The 20041-nt window shown below is 42.0% G+C and overlaps 1 protein-coding gene and 1 long non-coding RNA gene across 4 annotated transcripts in view; one reads left to right on the top strand and one right to left on the bottom strand.

Moving 5' to 3' along the window:
* Positions 1–20041, top strand: part of MRTFA (myocardin related transcription factor A) — a 226431-nt gene that overhangs the window by 71969 nt on the left and 134421 nt on the right. For all 3 annotated transcript variants that reach the window (NM_001282661.3, NM_020831.6, NM_001282662.3), the window contains exon 3: positions 12384–12645. In NM_001282661.3, the coding sequence (NP_001269590.2) occupies positions 12405–12645 (241 nt within the window). In that variant the 5' untranslated portion in view covers positions 12384–12404. The remainder of the gene's footprint in view (positions 1–12383; positions 12646–20041) is intronic.
* On the bottom strand, positions 285–9574 carry LOC105373037 (uncharacterized). Its single transcript, XR_001755550.2, has 5 exons — positions 9537–9574; positions 3761–3932; positions 3601–3636; positions 3357–3445; positions 285–443 (listed from the first exon to the last, which is right to left on the bottom strand). It is a non-coding gene; the product is annotated as an uncharacterized LOC105373037 (long non-coding RNA).

Here is a 20041-nt window from a genome sequence, read left to right as displayed (position 1 = left end):
AACCCGGGAGACGGAGGTTGCAGTGAGCCAAGATCACGCCACTGCACTCCAGCCTGGGCGACGGTGCAAGGCTCCGTCTCCAAAATAATAATAATAAAAATAATAATAAAATAAAGTTACAGCATTATTGAGCTTCTTCTAAAATAGTGTAAGCAGAAAGTGCTGATATGCAATTAGATACTCAGCGGTATTTGACAATTTTAGGAATCAGAAGGATGGTGAGGGATGGTCCAAGATCCAGAGTAGGTGATCTGAGACTAGGAATTTATGAATTATCAACTGAGTCAGGTTTGAAAGCAATATTATTATTTCCTTATATCTGTAACTCAGCCTCTTTCCTCTTTCTCAAACTCTTCCTACTTTTCTTCTGTTATTCTCTTCCTATTCTTGTAATCTTTGTTGTTTCTCATTGTCTTCATTCCCATGTTTTCCTTCTCGTGTACCTAATGGAAACCCAAATGACATTTCCATTATTTTTCTTTGGTCCCTCGACCCAACATGCAAAATCAAATTTATTATCTCCACAGATAAAATTCCTCCTCTTTTCCCTATTTCTATTAGCAGAATACTGTTGTAATGACTGCCCTGGCTTAAAACCTTTAGTAATTTTTGACATCTGTCTCTCCTCCATCCCCAACAATCAAACAGAAACACATTCTATCTTATATAAATCCTGTCTTCATTCATTATTAACGCGACAAAGATTTGAGTTCCTGTTCTGTGCCAGGTACATTGTATGGTCGTTCCCTTCTTTGCATTTAACTACCCCAATTCAGGATATCAACACATTATACTTTGCCTAATGAAGTAGCTTTGTAACCTCCCCCCACAACCGCATATTTCTTTTTTCCAATCCAGTCTAACTCCACTGCCATATTAATTTGCTTGTACTTGAACCATGTGATTGGCTAAACTGTATTGCCCTTTTAGAACATAGTTCACATTTTCTCACATCTATGACTTTGTTCATTTAAGTTATGTCTCCAGCTTCCTGAGGGCAAGAACTTTGTTTTATTTACTGTAATCCTCAATACCCAGACAGCACCTGGCATGTAGTGGGTAGTCAATATTTGTTGACCAGATTGGTCTTGAACTCCTGGGCTCAAGGGATCCTCCCCGCTTGGCTTCCCAAAGTGCTGGGATTATGGGTGTGAGCTACTACACCTGGCCCTCTCTAGAAGCTTTTTCTGATCTTCTGTGTATTTATACCTGGGACAGAACCCTCTTTCCTTTTTTTTTTTTTTTTTCTGTATCTGTGCTGACTTTGTATATATGATGTGTTTGCTGTAAGGTTAATATACGTAGTAAATTAACAAATATTTATTAAGTTCTTTTTAAATTTCAAGTATTGTATCTGGGTACTTGAGACAAAAAAACCAGTAGAATGGAGTTCCTTTCAGTGAATTTACCATCTACTGGGAGATCAATCCATGATAATAGTAAAAGTAAGCAGTGATAAAAGCAATCTTGGGATGTTGTGGAAGCCTAGCCCATTCGAAGGGGATGGATAATAAAGAGAAGGAAGTAGGATGGGGAAGAAGAGGCAATTCTAGGCAGTCACAGTAAAGAGCCGCATAACTGGTACCAGTGATTAGAGTGTGAATAAAGGGGAATGGTGAGAAATGAAGCCAGTAGTGAAGGGGCCGGTACTGTTGTAATTGAAGAGGCAGTGTTATATTGTTACTGTTATCCTTTTTGTTGGGGGAAGAGGAAATATTTGGATGACTGATTCCCTGTAGAACCATCAAGAGGAGGTGAAGTGAGCAAAGGCCAAGTAATTTATGGACTGGTCATAAATTATTTTTTGCCATTGGCTATTTGTCACCATTGGCTGTTACCAAAGGGTATTTATCACCTTGGCTACCCAATTCGTTGAGAACTCTATAGATACCTAGAAGTCTACCCTGCATCTTACTACTTTGAGATGACCACTTAAGATTCTTAAGTTTTTTCTGTTATTCACCCCCATGTTTCCCTCCCTCCCTCCATTCCCCCCTCCGTCCGTTCCCCCTTCCCCCCTTCCCCCTTCCCCCTTCCCCTCCTTCCCTCTTCCCCTCTTTCCCCCTTCCCTCTTCCCCCTTTCCCTCCTTTCTGCCTTCCCTCCTCCCCCCCTTTCCCCCTTCCTCTCCCTCCCCCCTTACCCCTTCCCCTCCTTCCCTTTCCCTTCCCTTTCCCCTTCCCTTCCCCTTCCCTTCCGTTTTTCTTTCCCCTTCTTTTCTTTTCTTTCTTTCTTTTCTGCTGTTGAGAAGTCTGATGCCATTTATTACATATCACAATTTTGTGGGTGAGGATTTTGGACAGGGCTTAGCTTAGGGATTATTCTGCCTGCTCCATATGGTATTAACCTGGATCCATACAGTGTTAAGTGTCATCTCTTAGTGTTATTCAGCAGGTGACTAGGCTTGTCTGGGGTGTCCAGGATGGCTTTGTTCATATGCCTGGCACCTTGGTGTGGGGATGTCTGGAAAGCTGGACTCAGCTGGATTCCTCTGCCCTTCTGTGTAGTCATGAGACCTCTTTTTTTTTTTTTTTTTGAGATGGAGTCTCGCTCTATCGCCCAGGCTGGAGTGCAGTGGCACGATCTCGGCTCACTGGAAGCTCCGCCTCCCGGGTTCACGCCGTTCTCCGGCCTCAGCCTCCTGAGTAGCTGGGACTACAGGTGCCCACCACCACGTCCGGCTAATTTTTTTGTATTTTTTGTAGAGTTGAGGTTTTACCTTGTTAGCTAGGATGGTCTCGAGCTCCTGACCTCGTGATCCACCTGATGAGACCTCTTTTTAGGATCTGTCCATCAGGGTAGTTGGACTTCTTACATGGGGGCACAGGGCTCCAAGAGACCAAAGTAGAAGCTGCCAGTCCTCTTAAAGTCTAGACCCTGAACTGGCATACCATCACTTTCACTGTTCTCGATTGGTCAAGGCAGAGGCCAGCTCAGATTCAAGGTCAAAGGAAATAAACCCCACCATTAATGGGAAGGAAGTGTCAGGTAATTTGCAACCATCTTTAATCTGCCACATTACTCTTCCATGTGCTTTCCATTGTTTTGTTATATTTTTCTGTTGCTTGTACTCCTCGTTTTTAGATGATTTCCAAGATGAAGAAGGAATAGGAAGCCCTATTATTTGCCATCTCTAAAGCCTGGTAGTTTTTAAGGTGTCTGAAGATAATGGGTGTGGTAGAGACAGAGGCAAGGGCAGTTAATTAGCCAAGACTTGATGTTTTCCTCATCTTCTATACAGTAACTTTTTTTTTTTTTTTTTTAGACATAGTTTCACTCCATCATCCAGGCTGTAGTACAGTGGCACAGTCTTGACTCACTGCAACCTCTATCTCCCAGATTCAAGCAGTCCTCCTACCTCAGCCTCCCGAGTAGCTGGGACTACAGGCATGCATCACCATGCCTGGCTGTTTTCCTCATCTTCTACAGTAGGACGTAGGGCAGTACCTAGTACATATATAGTAAGCTATCAGGAAACACTTGTTCAGTTGATTTGAATTCCTTCATACCAGATTTTACACACACACACACACACACACAGACACACACACACACAGAGATACCCATACCCACCCACATCCACCCCCACCACCCCTACATACCTGCTGAGACAGTAAGAGTTTTCAAGATTAGGTTTACTGCATTGAAAATAAATCAATGAGAATTAAAGTAAAAATATGTCCAGCTAAAAGAAAGTTCATTAATTGATTGAAAACAGTTTTTTTACCAATTGTTTAAAAAAAATTTTCAGAAGAACCATACCATTTGGTCGCATAGAACCACCTTTTTGTCATGGGTCATGATAAAGAATTGTGCTAGTGCTCATGTTTTAGAGTTGTCAGTAGCTGTCTACGTTCTTCCATTCTTCTAACACATTTCATGCTGTTGTTTCTAGGTACGTATGTTGTTCTGTACAGGCAGAAGGCATGCAGCCCTAAAGCGGGTAGGGTGGAGAAAAGATGCATAATCAGGCCAGCAAAAGAGGGAAACAGATGGGTTGTGGGAGATGACCCTGCCCCCATGCTGTTTTTGTTCTGGCTGCTGTTGATCATATGTGAATCAGCAGCCCAGAAACTGGAGTTACTGATCCTTTGATAAAAAAAGAAAGTATGAACTTAGACTCAGTAGAGTTATAAATTACAACTCTAAAAAGTGATTCAGGTTTTACAGTAAATACAATTACAGGAGTATTCAGGAATTGGTAAAGGGGACTTAATTATGATGGCTATACCTCAACATTTTTGGGTCTTGTCTCTAGATTATCATAGTTTACGAGATTTTATCCTGTGGGCTCTTTCAAAATGAATAGAGAGTAGTGTGTTTGTTAGAGAAATAAATCCAATGTGTATATTTTATGCCAAATTAGTCTTTTGTCAGTGCTTGTATATGACTTCTGGTCTATTTTCTAATCTCAAGGTTAAGGAAACCTTGCTGTGTCTCACTGAGTCTTCCCATCATTCTGTGGAAGAATCTTATTTTTTAAAAAATACTAGGAGAATGTTATCAAACATATACAAATGTAGAGATAATAGCATAATGAATTTCTAAATACCTAATAACCAGCTTCAACATTATCAACATTCTGCCCCTCTTGTTTTGTGTGTTCTTCCTCACTCCCTGCCTCATGGCCTTGATGGAAGGATTTTATTCTATAGTATAGTTTAATATTGGTGTTTTAAAGGATGTATCCTGAAACTTTTGAAATCCCCTAAATTAACAAATAGCACTATATAATTTACCCAATAAAAATATTTGGTAAAGTGTGTGTGTGTGTATGTGTATAGATATATGTGTAAATTTTAAGTGATCTCTTTAAGCCCTTAATAATTCTGTAAATATGGAACTTAATTACAGAACTATTCTGAATCGAACAGTTGCTAAAGCAGTTTTTCAGATTGCTTATTTCTTTTATTCTGGTTAGTAGTAGGCACAACCATGGGGTTCAGGTCTGTAGAATTTGATATTCTTATTTTCTTTCTTTTCTTTTTGCATTGTAATATAGTATCAAACAGTCCTTTCTTTAAACTATTAAAAATGTATGTGTTCTGTCAGGCAAGGTGGCTCACGCTTGTAATCCCAGCATTTTGAGAGGCCAGTGTAGGGCGATCGCTTGAGGCCAGGAGTTCGAGACCAGCTTGGGCAACATAGTGAGATCTCGTCTCTACAAAAAAGTGAAAAAATAGTCAGGTGTGTTGGCACACACCTATAGTCCTAGCTACTTGGGAGGATCACTTGAGCCCAGGAGTTTAAGGCTGCAGTGAGCTATGATCATTCCATTGCACTCTAGCTTGGATGGCAGAGTAACATGCTGTCTGAAAAAAGAAAAAAAAAGTATGTGTTCTAAGAAACACCATTTTTTCCTCCCTGGGATGGGTATCACTTCGTTGCCCAGGCTGGAGTGCAGTGGCATGATCACAGCTCACTGCAGCCTCAGCCTCCCTGGGGTCGAGGTGATCCTCTTACCTCAGCCTCAGGAGTAGCTGAGACTGCAGACGCACACCACCATGCCTAACTTTTGTGTGTTTTGTAGAGACGGGGTTTTGCCATGTTGCCCAGGATTGTCTTGAGCTCCTGGGCTCTAACAATCTGCCCACCTTGGCCTCCCCAACTGCTGGGGATTACAGGTGTGAGCCATCGCGCCTGGGTGAAACATTATTTTTAAAACTTCCTTGGCTGGGCACAGTGGCTCACACTTGTAATCCTAGCACTTTGGGAGGCTGGGGCAGGTGGATCACCTGAGGTCAGGAGTTCGAGACCAGCCTGGCCAACATGGTGAAAACCCATCTCTACTAAAAACACAAAAATCAGATGTAGTGTTGCGTGCCTGTAATCCCAGCTACTCGGGAGGCTGAGACATGAGAATCACTTGAACCTAGGAGGCAGAGGTTGCAGTGAGCCAAGATCGTGCCACTGCAGCCTGGGTGGTGGAGCGAGACTGTCTCAAAAAAAAAAAAACCCAAAAAACCCCCCCAAAAAAAACAAAAACCAAAAAACCAAGAACTTTATTTTCTCTTTATGCTTAGCATTGGACTTGGACTTGGGTTGGCTTTCTTTTGGGGGGCCGTTTTTTACAAAGTTTCTTTAAATCATTTTCTAGAAATACTGGTTATGTTCACTAAATGCATAAGAGCATCACAAACTCATGAAGTTAACTTCATGCTTCATTAGAAAAATATTGATACCATGTGATGGATTTTTATTGTCTCTTGGGAATATTAACACATGTAAATGCTAAATCTCTGAATTCCAGCAATAATAATAATTCAAAGTAGTAGGAAGAAGTTTGTTCTGAATTAGTGATAAGTAAATTAAATAATTTACTTCATTTTAAAGAATATATGGTTTTGGCGAGGCACAGTGGCTCATTCCTGTAATCCTAGCACTTTGGAAGGTTTAGGTAGGAGGATCACTTTAGGCCAGGAGTTTGAGACCAGCCTGGGCAACATAGCAAAAACCTCATATCTCCCCAACCCCTTGCAAAAAAAAAAAAAAAAAAAAAAAAAAAGCCAGGCATGATGGTGTGCCTGTAGTCCTAGCTACTTGTGGGACTGATGGGGGAGGATCACTTGAGTCCAGGAATTCAAGGTTGCAGTGAGCTATGATCGTGCCACTGCACCCTAGCCTGGGCAACAGAGAGAGACCCTGTCCCTTAAAAAAAAAAAGAAAGAAAGAAAAAGGCTGGACTCGGTGAGCTCTCATGCCTGTAATTCCAGCACTTTGGGAGGCCAAGGCAGGTGGCTCACTTGAGTCCAGGAGTTTAAGACCAGCCTGGGCAACATGGCAAAACCCCATCTCTACTAAAAATACAAAAATTAGCCGGGCCTGGTGGCGCATGCCTATATTCCCAGTTACTCGGGAGGCTGAGGCAGGAGGATTGCTTGAGGCCGGGAGGTGGAGGTTGCACTGAGCCGAGAACTTGCCACTGCACTCCAGCCTGGGATTCTTTCAAGCTCAGTAATATAAGTTTACTTAGTGAAATTTTTTTTTTGCCAAGACATCTAAAAATAATTGTGATAAAAAACATATGTAACATTAAATTCACCTTTCCTCCTGCCTTGGGAGCTCTTAGATAATAAACTTACCTTTTAACCACTTTTTTTCCTTCTTTTTAAAATTTTTAAAAACTATTTAAAATTTTTTTTAAAAAAGAGACAGGGTCTTACTATGTTGCCGAGACTGATCTGGAACTCCTGGGCTCTAGCGATCCTCCCACCTCAGCTTCCCAGAGTGCTAGGATTAGAGGAGTGAGCCACTGTGCCTGGCCACCTGGCACTCTTTTATATTACCCTGCCCCTGCCAAATAGCAGAAGATTTTACTTAATCTCACACCAAGTTATAGTATCAGAAATATCAGTTAAGTCTGAAATAATGGGGTTTTGCTAAGTTAAGAACTTTTTATATGAAACCATGATTCTAGCGCATCTGTTTAGCTATAGTATTTTAGTGGTATGAGGCTTGATGTTTCCTGTCCTTGACTGCCTAACATTATTTTTAGTGTTTCTGTATGTTTCATGCAGTCTTCCTTGTGTCATCCAAATTTTCCCCAAGACATGTCTGTCGTGGTTCCCTAGATTATCTTTATGTATCTTTCATTTGCTTCTCTCTTTGTTCAGTTAACAACTATTAGAATGCTTGTTTTGTGTTAATACTTTTGCAAGGCCCATCTACTGCATACAGAGTTATTGTTGCAGTTAAATTTCTTAATTTTCTTATGAGAGGTCTGAACTCTTACAATCCATAATGATTTAACAGCTGTTTATTGAAAACCTGTTACTCTATGTGAAACCACTTTTCCTAAGTCCTAGGGCTGAAGTTTTGATACCATTCTATTTTCCTTTTGAATAAGGAGGTTAGTTCTCAAGGGGTCCTTGAATGTCATAAAGTTGAAGTCTTTTTTTTAGTCTGAAAGGCTGCTGCTGTTAAAAGAAGCAGACATGCTCTTTCAGAGTCAATGACAAAGAATACTCAGCCGGATGGATTAATCCTGTGTAACAGTTGTTTTTTTCCCAGTACACACAGAGACATGGTTCAAACCATAATAAATCATAGACAAGATGGAAAAGAATTCTTTGAAGTTTAGATTCTGAATTTTGTTGGTAGACATTTGTTGTTTTGTAATTTATAAAATTATTCAAACCCTAAAAGAAATCCTTTTCCCATTGTTTGCCCATGCTCAATTACCCTTGAGAATATTGAGTTCCTAATACTGAGTTCAAATTTTTTTTTGAACTTGTCTCCCTTATATCTTCTTCCAGTCTCTTTGGAGTAGAGAGTCCTTAGTATCTTTTTTCTTCATAATATTATCTCCCTCATGTTAATTACTGTTATCTGGATCTTTTCCAGTCCAGTTTATTTTCTGTGAAATGTATCAGCCAGAACTACAGTCAGGTTTGGGCACACTATTGCTTTACTTGAAGTTAGATCATAATTGTCTTTTTAGTTTCTAGTGCCTTTCTTCACTTCATGGCTGTTCAATATTTTGTTGGTTTCTTCAACTAAAGCAAGTTAGATTAAAGTCCTCATAAAAGTTTGCAAGGAATGCCCAGGGAATCTCACTTCATAGATCAGAAACTATAGTCTTTTTATTATAAAAGCCATGTAAGTATTTTAGAGAAAATTTGGAACCTTAAAATTTTTTCATTGTCCAATCAAACAGAACCCCTCTTTTGTGTCTTGGTATACTTCTTAAAATCTTTTTTCTTTGTATAATATTTTAATATATGAGTATGTAGTTTTATGTCTTACTTTTTCTTAAGTGTGGCTTTAGAATAAGCATTTCCCACATTAGAAATGCTTTATAAAAATTATTCTTAGGGCTGGGCATGGTGGCTCACGCCTGTAATCCCAGCACTTTGGGAGGCTGAGGTGGGTGGATCTTGAGGTCAGGAGATCGAGACCATCCTGGCTAACATTGGTGAAACCCCGTCTCTACTAAAAATACAAAAAAATTTAGCCAGGCATGGTGGTGGGCGCCTGTAGTCCCAGCTACTCGGGAGGCTGAGACAGGAGAATGGCGTGAATGCAGGAGGTGGAGCTTGCAGTGAGCTGAGATCACGCCACTGCACTCCAGGCTGGGCAACAGAGCGAGACTCTGCCTCAAAAAAAAAAAAAATTATTCTTACTAACTACATAGGATTCAGTGAGTGGAGATATATATATATATATAAAATTTTTTTTAATTTATGAGGTTTAATTGGTTCATGGTTTTGCAAGCCTGTACAAGGATGGTGCCATCAAGGAGCTTTTATACATGATAGAAGGTGAAGCAGGTGCAGGCATGTCACAGGGTGAGAGCAGGAGCAAGAGAAAGAAGGGGGGCAGTGCCACACACTTTTAAACAACTAGATATTGGAAGAACTCACTCACTACCATGTGGACAGCACCAATCCATGAGGGATCTGCCCCCATGACTCAAATATCTCCCATCAGGCCCTGCCTCCAACACTGGGGATTGCATTTCAACATGAGATTTGGGTGGGACAAATATCAGAGTCATATCATTCTGCCGCTAGTCCCTCAAGTCTCATGTCCTTCTTACATTTCAAAATACAATTATTTCTTCTCAGTAGTCCCCCAAAGTCTTAACTCATTGCAGCATTAATTCAAAGGTCCAAAGTCTCATCTGGAGATAAGTTCCTTCCACCTATGAGCCTGTAAAATCAAAGACAAGTTATTTACTTCCAAGATACAATGGGGATACAGGCATTGAGTTAACATTCACATTCCAAAAGGGAGAAATTTGCCAAAAGAAAGGGGCTACAGGCCCCATGCAAGTCTGAAACCCAGCAGGGCAGTCATTAAATCTTAAAGCTCCAAAACAATCCTTGACTCCATGTCCCACATTCTGGGTACACTGATATAAAGGGAGGGGTTCCCAAAGCCTTGGGCAGCTCTGCCCCTGTGGCTTTTCCACGCTGAGGTTGCATGCTGCTGGTGGCTCTACCATTCGGGGGTCTGGAGAGCAGTGGGTGCTAGTTTACTTTACAAAAAGCTTTAAGAATAATGGTAGTTTGCCAGTGATGTAATTTATAATATTAGCATCGGCATATACTCCAGTGGCATAGTTTGTCCGTGTCTATTAGTCTGTTCTCAAACTGCTGCTATAAAGAACTGCCCAAGATTGGGTAGTTTATAAAGGAAAGAGGTTTAATTGACTCACAGTTCCACAGGGCTCGGGAGGCCTCAGGAAACTTACAGTCATGATGGCAGGGAAAGCAAACACATCCTTCTTCACAAGGTGGCAGGAAGAAGTGCCAAGCAAAAGAGGAAAAGCCCCTTATAAAACCATCAGATCTTGTGAGAGCTCACTCACTATCATGAGAACAGCATGGAGGTAACCACTCCCATTATTCAATTACCTCCCACTGGGTCCCTCCCACAACACATGGGGATTATGGGAACTACAGTTCAAGGTGAGATTTGGGTGGGGACACAGCCAAACCATATCATTCTGCCCCTGGCCCCTCCCAAATCACAGGTCTTCACATTTCAAAACACAAGTATGTGTGTCCAATAGTCCCCCAAAGTCTTAGATCATTCCAGTATTAACCCAGAAGTCCAAGTCCAGAGTCTCATCTGAGATAAGGCAAGTCCCTTCCACCTATGAGCCTGTAAAATCGAAAGCAAGTTAGTTACTTCCTAGATACAATGGGGGGTACAGGCATTGGGTAAATACACCCATTCCAAAGGGGAGAAATTGGCCAAAACAAAGGGGCTACAGGCCCCATGCAAGTCCAGAATCCAGTGGGGCAGTCAGATCTTAAGGCTCTGAAATGATCTCCTTTGATTCCATGTCTCACATCCAGGTCATGTTGATGCAGGAGGTGGGCTCCCACGGCCTTGAGCAGCTCTGCCTCTGTGGCTTTGGAGGGTACGGCTTCACCCCTGGCTGCTTTCATGGGCTGATGTTGAGTGTCTACAGCTTTTCCAGGTGTATGGTGCAAGCTATAGGTGGATCTACCATTCTGGGGTCTGGAGGATGGTGGCCTTCTCACAGCTCTACTAGGCAGTGCTCCAGTGAGGACTCTGTGTGGGCGCTCCGACCCCACATTTGCCTTCCATACTGCCCTAGTAGAGGTTCTCCATGAGAGCTGTACCCCTGTAGCAAACTTCTGCGTGGACATCCAGGTGTTGCCATACATCCTCTGAAATCTAGGTGGAGGTTCCCAAACCTCAATTCCAGACTTCTGTGCACCTGCAGGCTCAGCACCACATGGCGGCTGCTGAGGTTTTGGGCTTGCACGCTTCGAAGCCTCAGCCTGAGCTGTATACCTTGGCTCCTTTTATTCATGACTGGAGCTGAAGCAGCTGGGACTCAGGGCACCATGTCCTGAGGCTGCACAGAGCAGGAAGGCCCTGGGCCCATGAAACCATTTTTCCCTCCTATGCCTTCGAGGCGCTGCTGTGAAGGTCTGTGACATGCCCTGGAGACGTTTTCCCCATTGTCTTGGTGATTAATGTTAGGCTCTTTGTTACTTATGCAAATTTCTGCAGGTGGCTTGAATTTCTCCCCAGAAAATGAGTTTTTGTTTTCTATTGCATCATCATGCTGCAGATTTTCTAAACTTTTATGCTCTGCTTCCTCTTGAATGCTTTGCCGCTTAGAAATGTCCTCTGCCAGATACCCTAAATCATCTCTCTCAAGTTCAAAGTTCCACAGATCTCTCTAGAGTAGGGGCAAAATGCCACCAGTCTCTTTGCTAAAGCATGGCAAGAATCACCTTTATATAAGTTTCCAACAAGTTCCTCATCTCCATCTGAGACCATTTCAGCCTGTACTTCATTGTCCATACCACTATCAGCATTTTGGTCAAAGGCATTCAACAGGTCTCTAGGAAGTTCCAAACTTTACCACAGTTTCCTGTCTTCTTCTTAGCCCTCTAAACTGTTCCAACCTCTGCCTGTTACCCATTTTCAAAGTTGCTTCCACATTTTTGGGTATCCTTATAGCAGCATCCCACTCTATCAGTACCAATTTACTATATTAGTCTGTTCTCACGTTGCTATAAAGAACTGCCTGAGACTGGGTAGTTTATAAAGGAAAGAGATTTAATTGATTCACAGTTCCACAGGGCTGGGGAGGCCTCAGGAACTTACAATCATGGTGGAAGGAGTTGCAAACATGTCCTTCTTCACATGGTGGCAGGAAGGAGAAGTGCAGAGCAAAAGAGGAAAAGCCCCTTATAAAACCATCAGATCTTGTGAGAACTCATGAGAATAGCACGGAGGTAACCACCCCTGTGATTCAGTTACCTGCCACCAAGTCCCTCCCATGATATGTGTGAGTTATGGGAACTACAATTCAAGATGAGATTTGGGTGAGGACACCACCAAACCATATTATCATGGTACCATCTAAACTTTCCATTTTTTCTTCCATTTCCAGATTGCCATCACGAAAGCCAAAGTGGATTTCTCCAGTGTGGTGTGCCTGCCCCCTTCCGTCATTGCTGTGAATGGGCTGGACGGAGGAGGGGCCGGCGAAAATGATGATGAACCAGTGCTCGTGTCCTTATCTGCGGCACCCAGTCCCCAGAGTGAAGCTGTTGCCAATGAACTGCAGGAGCTCTCCTTGCAGCCCGAGCTGACCCTAGGCCTCCACCCTGGCAGGAATCCCAATTTGCCTCCACTTAGTGAGCGGAAGAATGGTGAGTAGATACAGAATTATTGCATTCCCTGATTTGAACCAGGATCTTCATGTTTATAATGTTACAGATTCTTACTTTATTTGATGTTCCGTGAAAGTTCCTAATAATCTTAACATTTCTTGTAAAATAGATAGCTGTAAGTTAAAGTGATCATTGTAAGTCCAACATTTCCTGCCTGGATTATTATAATTTCTTTCTAATTTCTCTGCTTCCCTCACCCTATTCCTTCCATAAATTCATTAATTCAGCATATATATTCATTAATATCAATGTATTATAAACTATGCTAAAATTAGGGATTAAATGGTAAACAAGCCTCTGTCATTAGGAAACATACTCTATCGTATAGCCTTGTCAGAGTAATCTTTTAGGACTTCCTAGCTTAAAAGTTTTCAGTGATTGCCTTGTGGGATGAAACAAAAACCAAATAAATGTCTTGCCGGGTGTAGTGACTTAGGCCTGTAATTCCAGCACTTTGGTAGGCCGAGGTGCACAGATCACCTCAGGTCAGGAGTTAAGAGACCAGCCTGGCCAACATGGTGAAACCCTGTCTGTGCTAAAACTACAAAAATTAGCTGGGCTTGGTGGCACACACTTGTAGACCCAGCTACTGGGGAGTCTGAGGTGGGAGGATCGATTGAACTAGGAGGCGGAGGTTGCAGTGAACCGAGATTGTGCCACAGCTCTCCAGCCTGGACGACAGAATGAGACTCTATCTCAAATAAACAAACAAACAAACAAATAATAAATAAGTGAATAAATTTCTTGGCATGTTTTATAAGGCTTTGCAGAATCTGGTCTCTTTCTTTTAACATCTTCTCTTATTCCCCTATTCCTAGTATTTGTTCCAGCCCATTAAACTGTGTTAAGTACTGTTTAAAAACCATGTACTCATACCTCAACCTTTTTTTAATTAAAAAAATCTATAATTTGTTATGGAATATTTAAGATTTGAGAAAATGTATAAAGAGGCTGGGCACGGTGACTCATGCCTTTGGGAGGCCGAGGCGGGCGGATCCCTGAGGTCGGGAGTTCGAGACCAGCCTGACCAGCATGGAGAAACCCCGTCTTTACTAAAGATACAAAATTAGCCAGGCATGGTGGCACATGCTTGTAATCCCAGCTACTAGGGAGGCTGAGGCAGGAGAACTGCTTGAACCTGGGAGGCAGAGGTTGCGGTGAGCCGAGATCGCGCCACTGCACTCCAGCCTGGGCAACAAGAGCAAAATTCCGTCTCAAAAAAAAAAAAAAAAGAAAAAAGAAAAAATGGATAAAGAACAATATAGAAAATTGTGTGTTCAAATACCACCCAACTTATGTACTTTGCGTAAATCTTCATTACCCCTGGAGGAAACTACTAACTTGAATTTGGTATTTCATTGCCAAATATGTCTGTATTATTTACCCATGTGAATATATTCTTAAGCAATATATAATGTTGTTTCTCATGTTTTAAACCTATATATGAGAGAAAATTATGTGTTCTTCAGTAATTTGTTGTTCAGTATTCATTTTCCTTGTAAGTTAAAGATATTCTGTATTTTCTTCTAATTCAAGCTGTTAATCCCCACTTAGTGAATAGTTCTACTTTTTCCTACTGATCTTTAATGCCTGCTGTATTCTGTCTGTGCATGAGTTAGTTTTTAGGCTCTCTTTTCTTTGACTGGTCTCTCTGTCCATCTCTGTGTCAGTACTACCTTATTTTAGTTATTGCCTAATAATTAGTCTTTCTGTCTGTTAGGACACGTATCTCCTTACCTTTTTCTTTTTCAAAGTTGTCTTGGCTATTACCCTTTTAATTTTCCATGATTTTAGAATTGCCTTACCAAGTTCTGCCAACAAAAAAACCCTTTGGGATTTTTACCTCCAACATTTTATTATGAAAAAATTTAAACGTAAAGTAGAAAGAAAAAAAAAAAGAAGTAGGAAGAACTTTACAGTGAATACCTGCGTGCCCATCTCTTAGATTCTACCTGTAACATTTTATAAAACTTGCTTTATAACACAGATATCTATCAATCTCATCTTTAAATTTAATTTTTTTTTTTTTTTTTTTTGCAACAGAGTCTCACTCTGTTGCCCAGGCTGGAGTGCAGTGATGCGACCTTGGCTCACTGCAGCCTCCGTCTCCCGGGTTCAAGCAATTCTCTTGCCTCAGCCACCCGAGTAGCTGGGATTACAGGCATGTGCCACCATGAATGGCTAATTTTTGTATTTTTAGTGACAGGGTTTCACCATGTTGACCAGGCTGATCTCAAACTCCTGGCCTCAGGTGATCTGCCCTCCTTGGCCCCCCAAAGTGCTGGGATTATAGGCGTGAGCCACCACACCTAGCCCTCAATCTAATTTTTTTGATGTATCTTGAAGTAAATTGCAGACACTAGTACTCCTGTTATGGAAGTATAACATAAATACAAAATAACCCACAACTTATAAGTGTTGTTATTATCACAAAGTGAGTACACCTGTTAGTAACTACTGCTTAGTGAGGAAATACTAGTAGTCCAGAACTTTCCCCACCTTGTGCTTCTTCCCAATCAATACTCCCTTCCCCTTGCTCAAAGGAAACTACCATCCTGATTTTCAACACTGTGGTTAGTTTTTAAACCTTATAAAAATGGAGTCATACAGTGTGTATTCTGTTGGTGGTTTCTTTTTGTTTTTGAAATTTGTTTATGTTGAATTGTGTGTGCTAGAGTTTATTTTCATTGCTGTATAATCAGTTCATTGTATGAATAAAATGCAATTTATTTTTCCATTTTACTGTTCCTGGATGTTTAGGTTGTTTCACTTTGGGGCTATTATGAATTATGCTGCTATGGAATTCTTGTATGTGTCTTTTGGTATACTCGCTGGGATTTTTATTTGAAATATGTTGTTTATAGGTAAGTGGGGAGAATGTAATCCCAGCATGTTGGGAGACTGACATTTGAGGATTGCCTGAGCCCAGGAGTTTGAGATTATAGTGAGCTATGATTGCACCACTACACTCCAGCCTGGGAGACATAGCGAGACCCTGTCTCTTAAAAAAAACAAACAGAAACAGTGGGTGGGAAAATACACATTTTTAAATATTGAGTCTTCCTATCCATTACTTTGTTTTATCTCTTCAATTAAATAGGTTTTCTTTAATGTCTTACAGAGTTTTGTGAATGTGTCCAGAAAAGTCATACAAATATTAGTTTTGTTCCTGGATATAATTTTTTTTTTTTTTGTAGATGTAAGTGGTATATATATATTTTTGAGACAGAGTCTCACTCTGTTGCCAGGCTGGAGTGCAGTGGCGCGATCTTGACTCACTGCAACCTCCGCCTCCCAGGTTCAAGTAATTCTCCTGCCTCAGCCTCCTGAGTAGCTGGGACTACAGGTGCGCAACACCACGCCCAGGTAATTTTTGTATTTTTAGTAGAGATGGGGTTTCACCATGTTGGCCAGGATGGTGTCTTGATGATCTCTTGACCTTGTGATCCGCCCGCCTTGGCCTCCCAAAGTGCTGGGATTACAGATGTGAGCCACCAGGCCCGGCCTTAAATGGTATATTTTTATACAATATTTTCTGTCCCATGCTGGTGTAAATAAATGTCAAGGCTTTTCAAAACCCCTATTTCTTTTCTACGTCTGTGTCCTCCATTTGGGATACGCTTTCTCTCTCTCACTCTTCTTGAAGCCTTTCCTAACTCATATTTAGTGTTAGATGCCCCTCTTTTGGTTTTCCCAGTTCCCAATTTTTTTTTTTTTTTTTTTTTTGAGACGGAGTCTTGCTCTGTCACCCAGGCTGGAGTTCTGTGGCGTGATCTCGGCTCACGGCAAGCTCTGCCTCCCTGGTTCAAGTGATTCTTGTGCCTCAGCCTCCTGAGTAGCTGGGATTACAGACATGCGCCACCATGCCCGGATAATTTTTGTATTTTTAGTAGAGACGGGATTTCACCATGTTGGCCAGGCAGGTCTCGAACTCCTGACTTCAAGTGATCCCCTCTGCCCCTGGCCTCAGCCTCCCACAGTGCTGAGATTACAGGCATGAGCCACTGTGCCCTGTTGCCCTTTATCAACCTACTTCATCACCCTATATTGTAATTGGAATTCTTTACTCAGCAATGAGTGAGCCTTTGAAAACTGAAATCAGACACTGCTACGCTACTCTCAAAACTCTTCAATGCTTTCCTGTGAGGCTTATGATGAAATCATAGTACTTATGATGTGGCCTTGGTATTCTCTCTGACATCATTTCTTTTTCTTTTTTTTTTTTTTTTTTGGGAGACAGTCTCGCCCTGTCACCCAGGCTGGAATGCAGTGGTATGATCTCAGCTCACGGCAACCTCTGCCTCCAGGGTTCAAGTGATTCTCATTCCTGAGCTACCGAGTAGCTGGGATTACAGGCGTACGCCACCACGCCAGACTGATTTTTAAATTATTTTTATTAGAGATGGGGTTTCACCATATTGGCCAGGCTGGTCTTGAACTCCTAACCTCAAGTTATTCGTCCACCTTGTCCTCCAAAATGCTGAGATTACAGACGTGAGCCACCATGCCCAGCCTCTCTCTCACATCATTTCTTACCCTTATCCCTTAGCTCCCAGGCACACTGACTTCTTGCTATTTCTTGAACACATCAAACCTATTCCTATCCCAGGGCCTTGTACTTGCTGTGCTTTCATTGAAGTTCCTGCACAAATGTCATTTCCTCAGGGAGGCCTTCCCTGCTTGTCTTCTCTAAAATAGCACCTCCTGTTACTCTTGATCCTGCTTTTTCTTCAAAGCCCTTATTATTATCTGTCATTGTGTGTGTGTGTATATGTGTGTGTTTGTGTTTATTGTCTATTTTCTCCTCTTTAATAGTTATTTCCTGAGGGCAGAAACTTTATTTTGTTCACTGGCATATACCCAACTCCTGGATCATAATAGGCACTCAATAAATATTTATTTATTTTATTTTATTTTATATATATTTTTTGAGATGGAGTCTCACTCTGTCGCCCAGGCTGGAGTGCAGTGGCACAGTCTCGGCTCACTGCAAGCTCCGCCTCCTGGGTTCACACCATTCTCCTGCCTCAGCCTCCCGAGTAGCTGGGACTACAGGTGCCTACCACCACGCCAGGCTAATTTTTTGTATTTTTAGTAAAAACAGGGTTTCACCGTGTTAGCCAGGATGGTCTCGATCTCCTGACCTTGTGATCCTCCCGCCTCGGCCTCCCAAAGTGCTGGGATTACAGGCGTGATCCACCGCGCCTGGCAATAAATATTTATTGAATGAATCAATGAATGGTTTACATGTTTGTTCCACTACAGGTAAGAACTCTGTTTTCTCAGTGGAGTAGAAGGCAGCTGTTGCTGTTGGACCCAAGGTGTTTGTGTATCTTCGGCCTTTTTCTCTGAAGTGTTTCCACTTAGCATATAAATTAACTGAAATCTTTCCCAGCAACTCTAACTTTCCCTTAGTGTTTAAGCTCCTGAAAGAATAGTTTACAGTCATTGCTTTCTCTACTTTCTCATATCCCAGAGACTCAACTGCTTTATGGCTTCTGTCACTACCTGTCTTCAGAAACTGCCATTGCCACAGTAATTTGTGTTCTTTTTGTTGCAGATCAAATAAGCCCTCTTTAGTCTTTATGCTACTTGACCTCTTTGCATCATTTGACATGGTTGGCTTCTCCCTCAGACTTGAAACTTTTCCTCCACGGATATCTACGACTTACCTTTTTCCGGCTTTTTAAACTCTACCTTTCCAGCGACTCCCTTTGCCATTCAGAGCTTTTGCTATCTTTCTCTGCCTACCTCTTAAATTTTGTTACTCTCCAGCATTCAGCTCTGGAGGAAAGAGGCTGGTAAGAAGATTGTTGTATTTTACAGTAGGTTTTTGCATGGTCATTTGTTTGGGAGGTAATGATAGGAGCAGAAATGAAAAATCTTTGAGAAGATTGTGAAATTGGAAAGTGTGGAGTTCTAGAACAGAATAAATTCTAGAGTTAGAGGAGGTGCTTTTTCATGAATGGGTGTACCGTGTGTTGAGAGAGTGGAGTGAGAAATGTACTTCTTTGATCTGTTTCACATAGAAGCATGTATCATATAGAAATTCAGTGGTGGCCGGGTACGGCGGCTCACGCCTGTAATCCCAGCACTTTGGGAGGCCGAGGTGGGTGGAACACTTGAGGTCAGGAGCTCAAGACCAGCCTGGCCAACATGGTGAAACCCCTCCTCTACTAAAAAATTAGCTGGGCGTGATGGCGGGTGCCTGTAATCCCAGCTACTTGGGAGGCTGAGGCAGGAGAATCGCTTGAACTGGGGAGAGGGAGGTTGCAGTGAGCTGAGATCACACCACTACACTCCAGCCTGGGTGACAAGAGCAAGACTCCATGTCAAAAAAAAAGAAAAAAATGGCCGGGCGTGGTGGCTCACGCCTGTAATCCCAGCACTTTGGGAGGCCGAGGTGGGTGGATCGCCTGAGGTCAGGAGTTTGAGACCAGCCTGGCCAACATGGTGAAACCCCGTCTCTAATAAAAATACAAAGATTAGCCGGGCGTGGTGGCAGGCGCCTGTAATCCCAGCTCCTTGGGAGGCTGAGGCGGGAGAATTGCTTGAACCCAGGAGGCGGAGGTTGCAGTGAGCCGGGAGATAGCGCCACTGCACTCCAGCCTGGGGAACAAGAGCAAGACTTCATCTCAAAAAAAAAAAAAAGGAATTCAGTGGGTTAGCAGAGGTACCTGTGGGGCAGTAGGCAGTCAAGGTCCCGACACCTTCATTTCCTAAACAGAACTTGGAGCCTTAAAGAGAGGAGGTGCCTTTGGCTAACCCAATCTTTACTGGCCTAATTGTAAAACGTTGATAAAAACTTTCAAGGTATATTTTAAAATATTACTCCTCTGTCTTCTAGGCTGAGAACTTAGGTCTAAAAGATAAAGTTGATCTGCTTGTGGATCCTATCTAGCCAGGGCTTGGAGAAGCCTGGAAACATCTGTCTAATGAACTAAGCCCTTAGGCTTCAGCTCAAGGAGTTCTGGCATCCATTGAATCAGTATATCATAATGGAAAGTGATTTCTTTTACTAATTATATATACCAGTTATTTTATATATATACCAATGATTTTATGTATATATATAAAATTGGTAAAAGAAATCACTTTCCGTTATTTTATGTGTATATATATATATTTATTTTATTTATTTATTTATTTATTTATTTTTCAAGACAGTGTCATGCTCTGTTGCCTAGGCTGGAGGATAGTGCTCACTGCGGCCTCAATCTCCTGGGCTCAAATATTCCTCCTGCCTCACCCTCCTGAGTAGTTGGGACTACAGGAGTGTGCCACCATGCCTGGCTCAGTTTTTATATTTTGTATAGACAGAGTCTTGCTATGTAGCCCATGCTGGCCCTGGCCTGTATTTCCTCTTTTGTGAAGT

This window comes from Homo sapiens, chromosome 22, assembly GCF_000001405.40.
Source record: "Homo sapiens chromosome 22, GRCh38.p14 Primary Assembly".
Classification (NCBI taxonomy): Eukaryota; Metazoa; Chordata; class Mammalia; order Primates; family Hominidae; genus Homo; species Homo sapiens.
This window is presented reverse-complemented; position numbering and strand designations above follow the sequence as displayed.